The sequence below is a fragment of the Homo sapiens genome, chromosome 19 (genome assembly GCF_000001405.40).
Source record: "Homo sapiens chromosome 19, GRCh38.p14 Primary Assembly".
In the NCBI taxonomy this organism is placed as follows: Eukaryota; Metazoa; Chordata; class Mammalia; order Primates; family Hominidae; genus Homo; species Homo sapiens.
The window spans coordinates 30,318,599-30,338,303 of NC_000019.10; the positions used below are offsets into that span (position 1 = coordinate 30,318,599).

General features: G+C 47.3%; 1 protein-coding gene across 42 annotated transcripts in view, besides 1 other annotated feature; it reads left to right on the forward strand.

Annotated features, from left to right (window-relative positions):
• Nucleotides 1-19,705, forward strand: part of ZNF536 (zinc finger protein 536) — a 487,995-nt gene that overhangs the window by 93,007 nt on the left and 375,283 nt on the right. The window contains exon 3 of one of the 42 annotated variants that reach the window (XM_017027534.2): nucleotides 17,718-18,018. The exons of the other annotated variants lie outside the window; for them this stretch is intronic. The gene's annotated coding sequence lies outside the window, so the exon portion shown is untranslated. The remainder of the gene's footprint in view (nucleotides 1-17,717; nucleotides 18,019-19,705) is intronic. 42 annotated transcript variants of the gene reach the window in all.
• Nucleotides 2,268-2,767: an enhancer, noted in NCBI's record as "H3K27ac hESC enhancer chr19:30811773-30812272 (GRCh37/hg19 assembly coordinates)". NCBI's record gives its function as "activates a minimal SCP1, AML or CMV promoter by ChIP-STARR-seq in primed H9 embryonic stem cells {active_cell/tissue: H9 hESC(primed)}" and the evidence as "EXISTENCE:reporter gene assay evidence [ECO:0000049][PMID:30033119]".

The following is a 19,705-nucleotide window of genomic DNA, read 5'->3' on the forward strand; positions in this document are numbered from 1 at the left end:
CAGCATGGGGCATTGGGCTAACAAGAGGCACATTAGGTGTGTGTGTGTGCGCATGAGTCTGTGCATACACGTGTGTTTGCATGTGTGTGCATGGCGCACATGTGTGCGCTTGCATGTATATGTCTCTCTTCTCTTAGGGTGAGGATCTGTAGAAAATTCACTGCAATGTACCCGCAGCCCTGGGTCGTCGTGTCCTGTTCTCTGTGGGCCAGTAAGCTTCTCTTCTAAGGTCAGCTTTCTTCACCCAGGGCCACTCCATTTTCAGATAGACTGGATTTGGAGAGTGCCTTTGGGGCAGTTTGCTCCCTTCTTTTATATTTGATATTATTACAGTTTTTGTAACCCAAATGGCATTGGTTTTAACAAATAAACAAATGCTAACTGCCAACTTCTTTGGCTGGATGGACATGAATCGGCTTTAGCAAGTGAATAGATGACATATCAAAGAATATGTTGACTAATCCCTTCCCTGTCTGAGAGCGTTTTCCAGATCGTAGACAAATACACTGCAGGCATTTAAAATAGAAGTCCGGGCATGGCCACAAGTGTATTCTGGGAGTTACAGGGTCCGCACGCTCTACGCAGGTGAGTATTTCTAGGAGATGCCGGGAAGTTGGGGACACCCGGAGGCACCCTCCGATGTTCAGATGATCGTGGCAGGAACATGCTGGAATGATATTCTGCCTTTATTTATTATTTGCTACCAATGTGACTATCTTTTAATTTTTTTAAAACAAATAATTTAGTCGTAAAGGCTCAGACTGATGTTTTTTTTTTGCGAAATAGTTCTAGTGAGCTAATTTATTTTTCAACTTTAAAACATCAGCATTTTATAGATCTGAATTTCACAATGTGAGGATGATTGCTACGTACAATTTGCAAAATTGTGATTAGCCAGCCCTTGCTTTGAGTTAGTTCTCCCTAATTCACAAAGGCTTCCAAGAATAGTCTGCACAAAATTCAGTTTGCAAATTGCAGGGCAGATTTTTAGAGGGCAGTTTAAAGAATGAAGTCCTAAGGGTTTTATCTATATTTATATCTCTTGTTAAACCAAACTCTTATGTAAATGTTACAATCTGTAAATAACTAGCAGGGCTGCCTTCTTAAAGGCAAGATTGCATCTCCATTTTTGAGATTTAGCAAAATTATTAAATGGCAGAATTGACTAAGATGCAAGTATATTTGGAACGAGCTAATAAACATTAATCAATATCATCAGCTGTATTTGTGTAGCTATTTCAGGGTTTAAAAGTAAAGGTTTTTGTTGAATTTCTCATAAATTAAAACAATTAAAATATAAAAGTCATTACCCTTAGTGATGTTTTGGGGAAAAAAATGGAGATAGCTTTGTGTGCTCTTACTTTTTATAGCCATTAATGTTTCAGTAAACCTTGCATGACTGTATGCAATTTAGATTATTTTTTCATCCTTTTGCCATTGGACAGGAAGGAAATTACTGGCTCCCATCAGTGTTACTGGCAATCCCCATGTTCTGACATCTGTTCCTCTCTAAACATTTTACCAACCTTGATGAAATGTAGTTTGGTGTCAGAAGCTGACTTGAAGAAAAAAATCACATGATTAAAAAAAACATTGATTAAACACCAGAAGTCACTTCCCAATAACTGTCAATATTTTGATGGTCACTGTCATTTATTTTTTTCTTAAATCCTGATAAATCGTATAGAAATGTTAATCATGTTTAATATTTGAATTAAACTGAATTAATGGCATGTCATTTTTAAATAGAAGTGTAGTGGATTCATTCTAGTCCATTTTAATCAGGGTCTTTGGGCTACGATTCATCAGGAATGTTTTCAGTCTTTCTCAGAGAAACCATGTAACGCACTTTCTTTGAGCAAATTAGACTTCCTCAATTCTTTGTCCTCTTTATCTCCTGGTTTTCAGGGAAAAACACACAGCATCTTGGGGGTCAGGACCTGCCAGAATGAGGAACTGGGGTGGAGCAGAGGGGCAAGGGGTTCTCTGGGCTGGATGTCCACGCAGCCCACGGAGCCCCCGTCAGAGAGCCCTCTGGGAGGCCTTGCAGATGGAACGGTGTGGAGCGTACGTGGTATTTGGGAAGTTTGGGCCCAGGGAAGGGTAAAACGCTCCCCTCCCCGACCTGGATTATCCAAACGATTTCCAGATTTATTTTCTCCGTGAAACGCCATTTGGAGCTCTCCTCTTCTTGGCTCCCGGGAGAATCAGGGCCTTAAATTCAGTGTGTAAGCAGGAGAAGGCCCACTGTGCGCCGGACGTGTCACAAAAACAGAGGCACATTCCACAGAGGCATATTTCAATCCATTAACCCACAGAATACGTATTGAATGGTTAGTGTGTGTCATGCTTTGGGAGTGCAGCGACAAACACACAGAAATAACCTTGTCCTCCTGCGCCTCTATTCCAGTGACACAGAAAAATGCATCTCACCATCTCCGTCCCTTGGGCGTGGGGCCCCCTCGCAGGCTCTGGCTCCAGGGTCAGGTGTGGTTTCAGGAAATCAGCTCCAGCTGTGTGACGCTGCAACCCCGACCTCCCAGCCCTCTCTTCTGCAAATCCACCTGCCCCAGGCTCATCTCCTTTTCTCTGCAAACTCTTCTCTGAACTCTGAGAAAACTTGGCTCTGGCCCTACAACTGCCCTCACCATGCTCATAGTTTAAAATGGTAGAAAGGGGCCGGTGCGATGGCTCACGCCTGTAATCCCAGCACTTTAGGCGGCCGAGGTGGGAGGATCACTTGAAGTCAGGAGTTTGAGACCAGCCTGGCCATCACGTTGAAACCCCGTCTCTACTGAAAATATGAAAAATTAGCCAGGCATGGTGACATGTGCCTGTAGTCCCAGCTACTCAGGGGACTGAGGCAGGAGAGTCACTTGAGCCTGGGAGGTGGAGGTTGCAGTGGGCCGAGACCACGCCACTGCACGCCAGCCTGGATGACAGAGCGAGACTCTGTCTTAAAAAAATAAATAAATAAAATGATAAAAGAAATCTTCATTCGGTACCACAAATTTAGAAAACAGATGCATGGGAATCAAAGTGCCCTTAATTACCCCTGTTCCAACACAAACCAGATGCTAACCTCTAGGTAAACTTCCTTTTCATCTTCCTCTTTTTTTTTTTTAATTAGTCTACCTGGCTAATTTAATTTTTGTTTTCTTTTTTCTTTTTTTTCTTTCTTTCTTTTTTTTTTTTCTGAGACAGAGTCTCATTCTGCTGGCCAGGCCAGAATGCAGTGGTGCAATCTCAGCTCACAGCAACCTCCGCCTCCAAGGTTCAATCAATTCTCCGCCTCAGCTTCTTGAGTAACTGGAATTATAGGCGTGCACCACCATGCCCGGCTAATTTTTGTATTTTCATTAGAGACAAGGTTTCACCAGTTGGCCAGGCAGGTCTCGAACTCCTGATCTCGTGATCCGCCTGCCTTGGCCTCCCAAAGTGCTGGGATTACAGGCGTGAGCCACCATGTCTGGCCTCATCTTCCCTTGTTCATCCACATTTTTCCATATATATAATCAGAAAAATTGTACCACTAGCTTTCAGTCTTTTCCTCAGGCATCACGTGATTTGTATTTTGCCAAATTCCCATTGAGTTTGGGACCATCATTTGTAATAGCTGCCGTTTTTCATTGAATAGATGTGCCATAATTTATATCATAATTCTTTTATTATTGGCTTTGAGTTATTTCCAGTAGTTTTTCTATATAAAAAAATACTATGATGATCATCTTTGTATGAAGAAGACAATTTTTCCCCCTCATTTTGGGTGATTTCCTTAAGCCAGATGCCCACAGGGGAAATTCCTGGCTCAGAGGACTCCACTGTGCTTGTCCATCCTGCTTCACAAACCCATCTCTGTTTCTGCGGGACTTGGTCCTGTCGCCCTAAGGACTCTGCAGGCGCCTTCTTGGGAGGGCTGCGTGTGTTACATGCTTGCTTCTGGGGTCCCTTTAAATCCTGCCCCCCTGGCCAGGCCCACAGGAAGCCAGCCCAGTCTTCCTAAGGAACCATCCTTTTCCCGAATTTCCCTTCCTATTCCATCTCATCAATGCTTTGTAGCTGAAACAATGCATGTTTTGGAGCTCACAGTAAGTTTCTGGAACTTCCCATTGCCCATCACCTGGGCTGGCCATGAACTCTTCATGAGCCCTCCATTCACAGCCCTCCTGCCCACCGAGCCCCTTACTCTCACTCCTAGTGGGGGCCTCAGATGGCCTGCGGTCCTGCCTCATGGAGACCACTCTGGCCTGGCGCTTCCCACCTCATGTGACTTCCTGGATTCCTCCTGGAAAGGCTGGGCACCTAATGGGAGAGATTTGCTGAGGCTCAAAGCATGATAGTTCCTTAGGGGAAGCACACCATGTTGGCAGAGGTACTGGGTCAGATGTCTTGCCATCCCATTGACTGGAAGACCCAGTCCTGAGAAGCAAAGCCAAGACCCTGGGGCCCTGGAGGCTCCCACACCTTCCTGAGCCCAGGACTAAGACTCCATGATTTTCCTAATAAACCAGATCACTCCCCAGGGCCAGGGAGCTTCTAAAGGGGCCTCCTGGCCTTCCCACCTGGGCTGGGCTTTGCTGGTAGAATCCAAACCTCCAATGCCTGCTGAACGTGAAGGCAAACTCTCGGCTCCACTCAGCTCAGTGTGGCAGAAACGAAATGCCTCCTTTTCCCCTAGCCCTTTATCCCTTCCTTTCTTACTTTCCTGTATCCCCCACATTGACTACCCTTTCTCCTCGGGCACTTAACACCAGTCCAGCGACATCTCCTACCTCCCGTTTGCTCCTGGGTCTTTCTTGAATTTTTAATTCACCCACAATCAATAATTTTATTCTTTTAAAGAAATTACAGAATATTTCTAAGTGTATGCAGGGAGAGGGGAAAAGCACAGTGTGTGTCAGTTTAGACTTGATGTATTCTGGATTTAGAAGTGCTGAATAATTCATTCCTGTTTAAAAAATAAACATACTATCTCTATCAGAACTTGACTGGGGTTGCTTCATGATGAATCAGATCCAGGGCTGCAGGGTTCTTGGGTTGGGCAGCATGGGAAAGAAGGCAGGTGCTGTCTAGAGGAAGCCATCCTCCTTCTCATGGTTGGGATGTCCAGATGGTCTGGGCCATGATTAGAGGTGGCATTGCTGGTTCTTGGAGATTTCACCTTCCCTTTGAGAGTTTCTATCCCTCTGCTAGTGCTCAGTTTTGCAACCTATCCATCCTACCATTATTCTACTCACTTCTTTCTCTATTTGTCCTGCTCCTCTGCTCAACCACTCCTGTCTTCCCCTCAGTCAACCTGACCATCCCTCTTTCCCATTTTCTCTCCCTCCATCCATCTGTCCATCCCTTTTCACCTTTATTTACTCATCCACTCAATCAACTACCCCCTTATTCACCTGTACTCACCCATCATCCCATCCATCCATCCACCCACCCATCCTCCATCCATCTATCCATGTATCTACTTATTCATCATCATCCATCATCTATTCATCCATCTATCATCCATCATCATCCATCTGTCCATCCATCTACCCATGCATCATCCATCCATCCATCCACCCATCCATTCATCATCATCCATTATCTATTCATCCAATCTATCATATATCCATCATCATCTGTCTAGCCATCCATCCACCCATCCATCCATCCCATCCATCATCCATCAATCATCCATCATCAATTTTTTTATCCTTCCACACATCCATCTATCTATCCATCCATTGTGTTTTGGGAATCTGCATGGTGCAAAGTTCCACACTCCAGAGTGTCTTCCCTGGTATTCTTTCTTTTTTATTTCAGGTAGGATCTCGCTCTGTTGCCCAGGCTGGAGTGCACTGGCACTATCATGGCTCTCTGCAGTCTTGACCTCCCAGGCTCAGACAGTCCTCCCACTTCAGCTTCCCCAGTAGCTGAGACCACAGGCACATGCCGCCATGCCTGGTTAGTTTTAATTTTTTAAAATTTTTTTGTAGAGACGGGGTCTCACTACATTAATCAGGCTGGTCTTGAACTCCTGGGCTCAAGTAATCCTCTTACCTTGGTCTCCCAAAGTGTTGGGATTACAGGCATGAGCCACTCCGTCTGACTTTCCTTGTGTTCTAATGAGAGATTCAGACAAGGAGATCACCAACAATGATACAAGGTGGCCATTTTTAATTTACTTCACTATGCCCTCATCCCTACCCCATGAAGTCAGAGCCGATCTCCCCTGATATTTATATACATCATGTCTCCTTAAAAGCCCCTCTCTTCTTCCAGTCCTTCCTGAAGACTGCTGAGCTGGCTCTCCCTAGGGCACTAGTGGCGAACAACAGTCCTGTGTGACACCTTCTAAACCGTTTGTTGTACCTAGGGAAAGGAGGCCCAGGGAAGAAAGCACCCTCACCCAAAGTCATACAATGGGTGTGAGTGCTCTTGTTCTAGAACCATCCACGTTTGCTCCTTGGCCTGGGGAGCCTTGCAGAGACACCTGTTCTGGAGTCAGGTTCATGTCTTCCTCATGCCCAGGGAGGAATGATAGCCAGGCTGGAAAGGGCTTTGTGGAGGGGTTGGTGTCAAGTGCACAGACGCCCGTCTAGGTCCTCCGCACTTTGCCTTCTGGGGGCTCCAGCACCAGGCTGCAACTGAGGGACAGAAGATGGCTCTAGTTAGAGGCGATTTGCCTGTGACTCTCACCCCCACCCTTGGGGCCAGTTCTCCCCCTCAGCCTGGAAGCCTCAGTGGCATGTCGGATCTGGGAGGCAAGGCAGCCGGTGTGGTGGCTGCAACCCAGGGCTGCAAGTCAGCAGGCCATCATCAAGCTGCTCCCTTTTGGTGGTGGGCTTCTCTGAGCCCAGTTTCTTCACATGTAAATGGAAAATGGGGTGCTCACATGTGTTTTGTCAGTGTCTGGGGGCTGTTTTGGGGCTCCAGTGACAGCCTGTGCATGGAGAGCTGTGAAAGGCTGAGGGCAGCGGAGAGGGCCCTTCCCTGAGGCTCAAGTCTGGTTCCTCAGACTCTGAAGTTTCTTGCATCTGTCCTTTTGCCACAGAGCACTTAGGGGTGGCTGAGGGGAGCACAGAACCTTAGATATGCCAAGTCTGGCATTGCGCATGGTGTCCAATCTGTGGACCATGACCCCAGTGAAAGTGTGGCCCTGACACCAAATCCTGGCACAAAATCAACCCAGATGTCACTGCTGAGTACCTCCAGATGTGCCCACTGTTGGAGCAAGCTGCACCTTGGTCACAGGCACTGGGCTGCCCGGCTGTGCCACCTATCCTCCATGTGGCTGTGGGGGTGTCGCCTCTCCTCTAACTGTGACGGGAGGGGCTGCCTCTCTACTGTGGAGCCCCTCCCACACCCGCAGATGTGCATCACATACCTTGTCTCCTCTCTGCTAAATCACAAACAGAAATTGAACTTGGGGTCATGCATGAAGTCATGAGTGTAAGTTTATTTTCTACATGTGGAGTGTTCTTTATTTACAGTCAAAATCCCCTGAAGATTAAACTTTAAAAAGATTTAATAGTGCTGGGGTCAGATGGTAACCCTTGCTGTGCTCCAGGCAAGCAGGCAGAACTCAGAAATAGCAACCACTTTGAAGAGGCTTGGCAAAGAGGGCCGTCCCCATTGCCAGGGACATGTCCCAGTGGTCAGCCCGGGCTTGGCGTCGCTCTGCCAATGCTGTTGGGGGAGGCCTGGGATCCTTGGGAGTCTGCCCCACGGGGCGAAGAGGGGAACAGTGGGCTCAGAAAGTCTGGCATCCAGAGCAGTGCAGGGAGAAAAGGGTGCGGGAGACAGGGTGCTAATTTGGGGCTGAGTGTCCTGTCGAAGCCAGAGCTCTTTAAACAGCAATGTCCTCTTTTTGTTCGTGGTAGGGAACAAGTGTCCTCCAGGCAGCCGGACAAGTCACTTTGGCTTTTTCTAGAGAATCCTCTTAAAGTTGGTCACTGACAACTTTCTGAGGAGAGGGCCAGGGGATGGTGACTGCCCCCGACGCATAGGTGGGTGTGGAGGAAATGAAAACGTATGTGAAGCGCCCAGCACAGTGTGAAGCTTTCAGTGTGTGAGACGGCTTTCGATGCGGGAGGCACGAATGTGCCTCCCCATCTCTGGCACAAAGAAGAGAAGGATTTGCTGTACAAATGGCCCTGGAAAGACACGCGATGATTTTTTTTTAACTGGGAGATTTTTTTTATAAAAAGCTTTTTTTTTTTTTTTTTTTTTTTTTTTGTTTTCTAGTTGGGCGCAGTAGCCCATGCCTGTAATCCCAGTGTTTTGGGAGGCTGAGGCGGGAGGATCACTTGAGCCCAGGAGTTTGAGACCAGTCTGGGCAACATAGGGAGACACCATCTCTACAAAAAATTAAAAAGTAACCAGGTATAATGGCACACACCTATAGTCCCAGCTACTCAGGCGCGGTCTTATTGATTTGGGTGTTGTTGCTTCAGCCCAGCAATAACTGGAGGCTGCAGTGAGCCTTGATTGCACCACTGCACTCCAGTCTGGGCAACAGAGAAAAACCCTGCCTCTAAAAATAAATAAGTTAATTCATTAATAAAAATAAAAAGCCTTTTTTCCCCCTTATGCAATTTAATCTCCTGTTTGCTTACAGCCTTTTGTTAAAGGACACAGCATTGTTGAAATTAATCCAGGAGGAGTGCATATTTCCTCGGGCTTGGGGTTCAGACCTCGGGCTCAGGGCCCCAGAATTTACACCAGCTTTGAATGACTGAGGTCTGACTGAACCCTGCCCCATCCAGAGAGGTCCATCCCATCCCGGACTTCCTCTGAGAATCCAGGCTCTTCTCTGTGAACAGTTATTTTATGAGGAAAGTGGGGTGTTTTCTAGGCCTGTGTTTGATTTTCACTTATAATTATCTCCACATAAGACTTCAATTTTGGATTTTGAATTGGAGACACATGAACCCAGCTTTGCATGTTGAAAGATCAGTGACAAAAGTCACATGACATTTGCATGCCGTAATTGTTCCTGCGAACCCTTCAGCAGGCTTTGTTTGGAAGTTCTGGAAACCTGCATGAAGCAGCCATGCACCCTTCATTTGGGAGGTGTCTTTCATGCATTTAGCTTGGGTTTGGGTTTCTGTGTTCACATCTCAGTCCTTCCAAGTGAAGGAAGCTCTTTTTCAGTTCTTCTCAGATCACACTCTTGGATCTCCTAAGACCCTGGTGTTCATCCCTCTCACCTCTGCGGCCTGAGCTGTGGAATTGTTATCCTTTGGGCAATGTCTTTGTCCTCTGATGAGTGGAGTTAGGAACGATGATGACTTTTAAGGTTGGAGAACGGGGTTATATTACCCAGTCAGTAGAATGAGCAGGCGGGATCAGCCTGGGCTCCTGGAGCCACCATTACTAGTGGGGACAGGTCAGACTCTGTGCCCGTTTCCTCTTCTCTCAGATAGGGTGGAACCTGCTTTGTAAGGTGGGTGTGGATGAAATGAAATAATTCACATCAAATGCTTGGCAGAGGGCAGAAACCCTCGATTCACAACTCTGATGATGATCATGACTCTCATATTGGTTTATCAATGAACATGTGAACATGAAGGTGCCTTGTGTGTGTTCAGCTCTGCAGAACTCCCCAGGGGAGGTGGGGAGGCATTGCCCAGCTCCAGTGACCATGATGGCTGAAGAAGTGAGCAGAGAAAGACTTGGGCCTCCAGGAGCTCCTTGAGAAATAAACCGAGACTTCGGTGGAGGCCACACTTGGCCACAGCTACCCAAGGGCAACTTTGATTCTCATTCGAGCTCATGTCCCTATCACAGCAAAAGCTCTGCAGCCCCTGACAAGGCAGAAGAGGAACTCATGGGCCTCTGTGTAACCTGCTCTTGGGGCTCTCTGCTGCCCTTGATCTTCACTCAGAACTCCATGGTTCTCCATCATGGCCAGAGGGGAAGACTTGGCTCTTAATAATTGCGTATTCAATAAATGGTGATGCATTGTTCTGGCTGTCCACGTAGCCCTAACTAATCACTCAAGTTCCATTGGAATCATTTTGTAATGCAAATAGTTATTTGTACCACTTGTGTGTTTCAGAAATGAAGGTCTGATGTGATGATTCCACCCTATAGGAGGGAGAGATTTGCTGGACCCAATATCCACATGGCTCTCTCTGGAAAGATCGTGGCATGTTCATAGATGTGAATTGGGGTTCCTTTTGGATTTTCCTGCTGATCTTGAAGCTGGCGTTGCCAGGGGCTTGGTGTACTTGGACCTAGTTTGGTGGCTTTTAGACATTAGAGACCATCAAGAGGTACTTAGAAATATTGGCTGCTTTCATTTTGTTCTCGATTTCTCTCTCTCACTTTTCTACTCCTCCCTTTCCCCCTGCAACAATAGAATTTTGCGGCATCATCAGAGTGAGAGATGGGAATTAGCACTGTAGAGAGGGATACCCTCATGCAAGGGAGCTCTGTTGGGTTTTGTTCAAACGGATCTTCTTTGAGGGGTTGCTTTGCAAATGTCGGTGTGTCAAGAAGGCCAACAGCTATCTAAGAGAGGCCTCTTAGCCCTCAAGAGTCCCTCTCGGGCTCTCAGTAGACAAACACCTGTCCTAAGCCACCTCTGAGAACATGGGCCACACAACAGCAAGTGAACAGAACAGAGCCTTTATTGAGACAGGTCCGAAAGGACTGGAGCAATCAGCTTACAGGGAACATTTTTGCTTCGTAGGAATGCGGTCCTGCTTGCTGAAAACATATCCTTTGTACAGAGAACACACATAATCCTAGGTCAACTTTGCCCTTTGAAGAAAAATATGCTCAGCTGGAATTTTGGAGGTGGGGGGCTGGGGAATGGGAGGTGGGGAGGAATCTATTCTACAGAATATCTGTTCTACAGAATATCTGCTTAGAGCTAGAACCTTCAAAGGAGTTAAGTTTTTGGAGTTCTGTTCTATAAAGTGTGTGGGATCAACCAATACAATGCAACAGCCATGAAAGTGATGATGAAATTTTATTTAAGAGAACATCTAAATTATGTTTAAAGTTCTTGTTGGAACTATCTTTTGCAAAGATAGTTCCAGACCTTGGAAAGCCCAGGCGTGATACAGACAAAAGTTTATCAGGCCCCTCTCCCTCTCTGCACCCAGCTGTACTATTTGGTGGTGCTATGTGTTCTTAAGGTCATGTCAATATTTCCATTAAAACACACATTTTTAAAATGGAGATTTATTACTCTGACAGGATAGTTTGCTCTGGGGCATAAGTTAACTTACTGGGTCTACACTTGGTGGGGGGATACTTTCTCTACCAAATTTCTGAGGAAAAATCAGAATTGATTTGGGAATTATTGTACTGTGCTACTTGATTTTCAAAAAATATCCATTGAGCAGAATGGACTAAAATATTGCAAAGTAATATGGTTTAGGTGATAATTTATAATCTTATGATTTAAATGAGATGCTGTATTTGAAAGCACTTATTTTCATGCCTGGTATACAGTAGGCATTCAATAAATACTACTTTGGTCCTATGATTACTACTATGATTACTCCCGTCACCACCACCACCACTACTAATTTCTTTGAGTTGGGTTAATATGGAGTAATAGATCACATACTTTATTCATCAGAAAGCTGGGAGGCGCCAGGTGCCCACATGTTAAATATTAACTGTGCTAAATTCGATCATGTAGAAGTTTGTGGCCAATAGTATTATATTAAAATAAATTTGGTACTGTAAGCAACTTGGACAAAAGTTGTGGAACCGAGGCAGAAACTCACTCTTGAGTGGTCAGTTTCTTGCACACTGGGTTATGTGTCACTGGCATTTTAGGGCATTTTCACTTTACATCTGCCTTTGTTTGGTGAGAAACTTTGCAGTTTTCTGGGCTGCAGGGGGCATTGGAGGGACTGAGAGGACACTCGACTTTGGAGCTGGGGATGGGGAGGCCTCGTTACAAGCCTTGCTTTGCTACCAGTGGATTTAGAAAAGGTTACATTGCCACTCTGGGCCTCAGGCTCCCATTTCTAGGAGGTAAAGTAGTCTATGGCTGTCTTACTCTGACGTTTGGGCTCTCCCAGGCCATATCTGTGAAGCAACAGCTGGTGGTCTGGCTTCACTGACCCTCCTGCTCTCAAGACATGGCCATTGTAGACATGTACTCATTCGGGATCAGAAAGGAATGGAAGCAGGTGGCCAGGGAACTTCGAGGCATTGAAGTGGAGTCCATTTTTCGGTCCTGAGGGCTCCTAGCCTGAGAAAGCTTGACCTGTGGGTCAGTGAAGCCCTTGCTTGAGCCAGCAGAGAGTTAGGACCTCTGATTCTCAAAACATAACTTCACTGCTCCGCTCACACAATTGCAGTCAAGGAATTGAGGACTAGAGGTTTCAGTCCCTACTGCACTTCCAGCAATGGACTGGGAAAATCAGGCTCAAGTCATTGATACTGGTAAATAAAAGGGCCTTATTTCACCTGTAATCCCAGCAATTTGGGAGGTCAAGGCAGGAGGATCGCTTGAGGCCAGGAGTTCAAGGTCAGTCTGGGCAACATAGCAAAACCTCATCTCTACAAAAAATTTAAAAAATTTAGCCAGGCATGGTGGCATACACCTGGGGTCTCAGCTGCTTGGGAGGCTGAGGCAGGAGGATTGCTTGAGCCCAGGAGTTTGAGACTGCAGTGAGCTATGATCACACCACTGCACTCCACACTCCAGCCTGGGGAACAGAGTAAGACCCTGTATCTTAAAAAAAAAAAAAAAAAAAAAAAAAAAAAGAATATTATTTGTCTTTATGACAGATGACCATTTCTTACTAGATAATTACTGAATACTATAAATCTTAGATCTCTTCTGTCTCTGCAGTGGTCATGCTGATTCCCCATCAGATTTGTTTGCCAAGTGACTTGAGGAGATCTCTTGTAAGGAGGTCACCAATGTCCTTGATTCTGGTGTCACCGTCTCCTGAGGTGTGTGTTCACTCCGAGTTTCTGCAGGTCTGTTGGCCAGTGACATTGACCAAGAATGTCAAGGTCATGCATCCAACAGGCTGGACTTTGCTTCCTTGACCTTCTCAGCTCAGTAACTTTTCTTCCACTTGACCTTAGCCATCCATTTCAGATCCACACCCAGGCTTGACAGTGACCAACACCTGAGCTCCTCTGAAATCTGGTCTTCACCCATCCTATGATGAGTCCATCACTGCCTTTCCCTCCAAATCACTGTTTGTGATGCCTCCACTGTCAATCATTGGTGTGCTCACCCAGGGACCCTTCAGCTTCCTCCCTGTCCCCTGCAGGGGACCTTGTCTTCCCGCTGCCCTTCACCCAGTGGGGAGATCATGGTCCATCATTTTCATCACTTCCTTGCACCCATTATCAGCTCTTAGCTCTGTGGCATGTTTTCTTTTTGTCTCATGCACCTGATGAATCTTCAGTCCCGGGTGAACTCAGATATCTCCCTTTTCCATGCCAGTTCCTTGCACCCCAGCTCTCCAGGAGAAAACCATGCAGCTGAGCTGATAGGTGTCACTCAGAATCCATGGCCACGGGCATCAAATGGGCCCTCAGCATGCCATGTGCCAACTGCATCTCTCCTGGGCTTGCTTTTCAAATTGGCCACACTGGCTTTTCTCCTCTTTGCCCCCCGGCCTCAGCTACTGATCTCATCTCCATTAAAATGCAGAAGTCTTGTAGGATCTTCCTCACTCTCCCTCCACCAATCTGCCACTTTTCTGGCCCTTGTCTTCTCTTCTCTGACCTGCTCTTCCCAGAGATCCTCACCTCTGGGGCCCCAGTGGCCCCAGCCTTTGTCTCCTTCTTGGAGAGGTGGTTCCCTGGGAGCATGCACCTGGCACCCTTATGTATGCACCCAGGCACCCTCAGTGGGCGTCCAGGCATCCTCTCTGCCCATGCGTGTCCTCCTGCTCCTCCGTCAGAACTGCCCTTCCCTCCATCCTTTGCAGCTGGCTTGTTCTCCTCTGCCAGGCCCTGTCTCAAATATCCCCTCCTCAGAAAGCCGTTGTTCCACCTCCCTATATAAAATCAGACTTCCCCAGTTGCTGGCTGGATCTCACCCTGCTTACTCACTTCATCATAACCTGTAATTATCCAAATTATTTAACTACTTCTTGTCTTTCCCTTCCCTTGAACTTAAAGCCTATGTGGGAAAGGGCCAAACCTACCTTGCTCCTTGCTGTGACCTAGCACCCAGTACGATGCCTGATTCATAAAAAGCACTTTATAAATTTCTGCTGCCCTGGTGTGGTGCCTCATGCCTGTAATCCCAGCACTTTGGAAGGCCAAGATGGGAGGATTACTTGAGCCCAGGAGCTCTAGACCAGCTTGGGCAATATGGTGAAACCCATGTCTCTACAAAAAATACAAAAATTAGTCAGGCATGGTGGCATGCACCTGTGGTCCCAGCTACTCGGGAGGCTGAGGCGGGAGGATAGCTTGAGCCCAGGGGGTCGAGGCTGTAGTGAGCTTCCTGCATGCCTTCCTGGTAGAAATCCTAGGGCAGCGTCCCATTTTCGACCTTCTGCCATTGCCCATGGCAGATCACGTCACTGCACTCCAGCCTGCATGATGGAGTGAGACCCTGTCTTCAACAAATAAATTAATAAGTAAGTAAGTAAATAAATAAATAAATAAGGAAATAATATTTGCTGAAAGAGAGCACAGTTCCATGACCATGAGGCCCTGGTAGAGGGACCTCTTCTGTGGCCACAGTCCCAGCTTCATCTCTGAAGGACTGTGGATCCCAGACACAGAGACGTCCGGGAGTTGCAAGGGAGCACCACCTGATTCTGTCCTCTCTGTCCCTCTTGAGAAGTGTCGCCCATGCTTCTGCCATGAGGCGAGCTGGGTGGAGAATGAATGCCCACACTGAACATTCAGGTGGGTTGTGGTTTCTGAGAGCTACGTGGCCATGAGGCCGCTGGTCAAGAGATTCCTCCTCTTCATCTTCACCTTCCTGCCTGCGGCTGTCTTTGTCTGGGGCTTCCTGCAGGCCTTCCTGGTAGAAATCTGCTTGCTGCTGCTGGCCTGCCTGAGGCCCAGGGCAGTGTCCCAGTGTCTACCTTCTGCCATTGCCCATCAGTAGCTTCCACCTGGCCTGACCTCACTCACACCTTGAGCCCTACCTGCAAAAAGTGACCTTGGACTGTGACCTAGGAACACCCGTGCACCAGCCGGACCCCACGGAGACTAACCAAAGACAAACCACCCCACAAATTAGTGGGCTGTGCCTGTGTTGACACATCTATTCTCGCCCTAATGATATGTTTATTTAACTGATGACTGCTGTCCTCATTAGGGGCTCATTGTTGAGCCCGGAATAGTGATTATTTTTGCTGATATTCCTTTTCTGCAAAGATGATTTTTTTAAAAAATCACTCTTTTGGTGTGCTATGAATCCTTAATGAGGATAGTTAAATTTAAAAGAAACCCCCAAACCACCCTTCAGGTTGAAAATAGAAGTGTCTGCAAAAGCAAGCTGCTAATTTGCTGATTATTGATTGACATGATTGGTGACAGACCCAAAACTTTCAATAAAATGAAAGCTCCCATCACTGGAGCATGGTAGCAAAAAGAAACAGAAGCAGTTTCGCCAATGGGAAATGAGTGCTTGGGGTTCTAGAACATTCTCTTTCCTGCATGTAGAAAGAGTCATGATTCTGGAAGTTTGAATGTTGGTAATGGCCTCCAAATTGGACCCAAAGCTATGCGATTCTTGGGGATGGATGGAGAAAGATGTTTGTAAAAGCTTATTAGCTGAATACTCAGAGTCAATTAATGAACTTACCAACCCCTGAAACTCATCTTTCTCCTTTAGAATTCTAATCGAATTCCTGTGTGGCAGGTGAGTATTAACCTCCTGCTTCTCAGACAAGGAGAGTAAGACCCCAAGAAACAGAATCTTGGCTAAGATTGGGGCTAGGGTTGGTATTAGGACGTCTGGTTAAGACAAACGTTTTCTCCACCCATCGCTGGGAGCCCACATTTTCCCTCCATGACACAATTTGAAGACTGGTTCTACAAATACTGGCCCGTTCCCCTTTACTTGAATATATCCAAATACATAAGGACTGTGATCATGCTGTGAGGAGTATGACACGGTGGGTTGATCATGGAGATGTTATTCATGATGAAAATTCTATGGCCTCAGCTCAATGCCCAGCCTTTACAGCAGTTTCCAACCATTTTGGCACCGGGGATCTGTTTCATGGAAAACAATTTTTTCATGGATGGAGTGGATGGATGGTTTCAGGATGAAACTGTTCCACCTCAGATCGTCAAGCATTAGATTCTCATAAGGAGCACACAACCTAGATCCCTTGCATGCGCAGTTCACAAGGGGGTCTGGGCTCCTGTGAGAATCTAATGGCCCTGCTGATCTGGCAGGAGATGGGGCTCAGGCGGGAATGCTCGCTCACTCTCTGCTCACCTCCTGCTCTGCGGCCCAGTTCCTAACAAGACACGGACTGTCAGTGGACTGAGGGTTGGGGGCCCCTGCTTTAAAGATCTCCGTACAGCATCTGGGGCTGGCGGAACAGGGATGGGGACACAGAGGAGTCACGCAGGAGGCAGACGTGGCCAGAGCATGGAGGATTTGGCACCAGCCAGGAAGGAACAAGCCTGAGAGCCTGGCTGTGTATCGCTCCCACCCTGCCACCTATGAACAGTGTGACCTTGGGAGAGCCATTTAACCTCTCGGAACCTTAGTTTCCTCACCTCTGTAATAGGGCTGTTGGGGCATCAAATAAAATAACCGTGCATATGAGAGGCTCGGTTACATCTTTAATCTCGATGATGGAAGCTGCTGCCACTGCCACCACAGCCACCCCCAGCCTGGTACACATCCCATCCTGTCTCACGAGCATGTCATCTCCTTTTCCCACGTGGTCTGTGTGTTTTGGGAGGCCTGGCACGCCCACCCCTCTTCCCAGCAGAGCCCAGCATTGCACCAGACACGTGTTCAGCAGGTGCTGAGCTACGCGGTGGGTGTCTGGTCTCCTGAACTGACCCAGTCCCGGCCCCTTTCCCAGTGCCTGGCACATCTCCTCCCTGGCACATCTTAGCTCCTGCTCTCTAGGGCTGTCCCTTCTCTTCTCAGCCAACCCGGGTGGAGAAGCTGCGAGTGCCACTTCCTCCATAGCTCCCTGATCTGCCCTTGTGCACGGATAGAATCTTCCTCGCCAGGGCTGCCCTCAGATCCTAGCCTTGAAACTATTTCTACTTGTTCATGAGCCACCTGGACTGGGTCCCCTTCAGCTGCTGCAACTCACAGCTCAATACTGGGCTGTCCAGGAGCCACCAAGAACCAGCAGGTGGATGGGAGGTGGTCAAGGAGTGGCCCTGGCTCAGATGACCATCCCCACTGAATGGATTCCTCCTAAATGAATAGTAACCTCCCATTCCTCAGATGTGAGACCCCAAGAAGCAGCATCTTGGCAAAGACTGGGGTGAGGGTGTGATATCAGGACCTCAGGTTAAATTCGGTTCAGTTCTAGAGGGAGAGCTACAGGTAAACAAGGGAGGAGGTGACCCCGCCCAGGCTGGTCAGTGCCTACTGAGCGCAGACTGTATGTCCTATGCTGGTTTAGGTTCCAGCATGAGAGTAAGGCAGAACCTGCTTGATCACGGGGGACTTGAGTCCAGCTGGAAAGATCTATTACATATTTACTGGTGTCTTCATCATTGGTTCCTTCTAGAAGTTGCCCTCCAGGAAGGCAGAAACCATGTCTGATGGCTCACTTTTGTTTCTCCAGCGCCTGGCACATAGTAGGTGCTCAGTGAACATGTGCCGAATGAGCGGATGAATGAACAGGACACCTCCACGTGGAATGCAAATGCTGTTGGACAGGACAAGGGGAAGGACAGCGCAGGGCAGCACACCATGCCTTGCCAGAGGGATTGCATAAACAATTGCTATAGAAGCTTACAGGCTGGCGGAGGTCCCTTCAGGCTTGGGCTGTTGAAGGCTTATTAGGAGAGAGTGTGCTCAAACTGATCTTTGAATCCTGGCTGGCACTTGGAGGCAGAGAGGACAGAGAAAAGCATGCCTGGAAGGTAGGTGAGATGGGCCAAGGTGTGCAGGTAGGACCAGAGAGGGAAGGTGTGTCTGGGGGCAGGAGGGAGGGTACATGCCTGGAAAGCATTGGAGAACATCTCGGAGAGGTCAGTACAGGCCAGAATGCATAGGCCCAGGCTGCAGAGTTCAGCTGTGACCCCTGATGTTATTTTAAGGTGGTGGTTTTTTCATATTCAATTATGAATGAAATTGCATTTGAGGATGGCAGCTGATGATGGCGTGTGGTTATGCTGTGTGGGCTGCTTTCAAAATAGCTCACCCCAAACTTCATTAGTGATTAGTTCGAGGAAAGTGCAGCCTGACCCACTGGCAATTTTTGTATCATCTGGGTTGGGTCTCAGCCGTGAGAACTCAGGAAAAGGCAGCTGGTGGCTTTGCAGGTCTCCTGCAACATGGGCTATCTCTTGCAGGTCTTGTTCTTGGGAGGCCTGTTCCTTCTTGGTGGTGGTCAGATTGTTACTCCTTTCTGATTCTCCTTTACCCCGGAGTTAGTCACTTTCCTACTACTCAAACTTGGATCACCCTCAAGGGAGACTGATGGAAACCCCTGCTGAGGCTCTCAGGGCTAGGAAAGCCAAGGCTGGCACTGGACGCTCCCAGCCCGGCTGCCTGGCCCACAGAGTGGGGTTGCTGAGCAGATGGCTGGCGTCCGCAATCTCCCAACTTCTGCTAAATATGGTCAGTGTTTGTAGTAGCTCCCACCACCGTCTGTGTCCGCATGAACTGTAGATTTTAGCTTGGCCACCCCTTTAGTCAGGCCTTTCCTGGCCACCTTCCCTTTGCCGAACTTAGGATAAACCCTCATTATAATCGAGATTAGCCTTAGTGAGAAGAACACATGGGTTGGCAACAATGACAAAGCCCAAGCAGCCTCCCTGTACTTTCCTGGGCACCACAAACCAGTGCCAGTCCCGTTTCCTCTATGGAAAGCCCACTCCTGATACTAGCTGATGAGACAGCTCACAGCCCATGGTGGGTCCCTAGATGAGGCCTTCCTTATCTCCCTCACAGGGGCCAGAGACATGGCTATTAAATGGGGATGCTTGGGGTTGCTTAAGGCTCTGCTGGTACTAACTGACCTTCAGTAAATTGCATAACCTTTCTGAGCCTCAGTTTCCTAGTGTCTGTATAGTGAGGATAAAGCGAATAGCAGAAATGAAATGTAATAACGCATGGAAGTTGAAGAACTTAACACGGCTCTGGGCTCCTAGCAAGAGCTCAGTAAGTGTTAACTGTACTCCTCAATAAGTGATGATGGTGGTGATGATGATGATGATGACAATGGTGATGATAATGTTGATATGATGATAATGGTGATCGTGATGGTGATGATTGTGATTATGATGATGATGATGATGGTGATTGTGATGATGATGATGGTGGTGGATTATGATGACAGTGGTGATGATGGTGGTGATGATGGTGATGATAATGATGATATGATGATAATGGTGATCGTGATGGTGATTGTGATTATGATGATGATGATGGTGATGATGGTGATGATTGTGATGATTGTGATGATGATGATAGTGGTGATGATGGTGATGGTGGTGATGATGTTGATGGTGGTGGTGATTATAACAATGTTAATGGTGATTATGACAATGATGATGATAAAGATGATTGATGATGATGGTGATGACAATGATAATATGATGATGA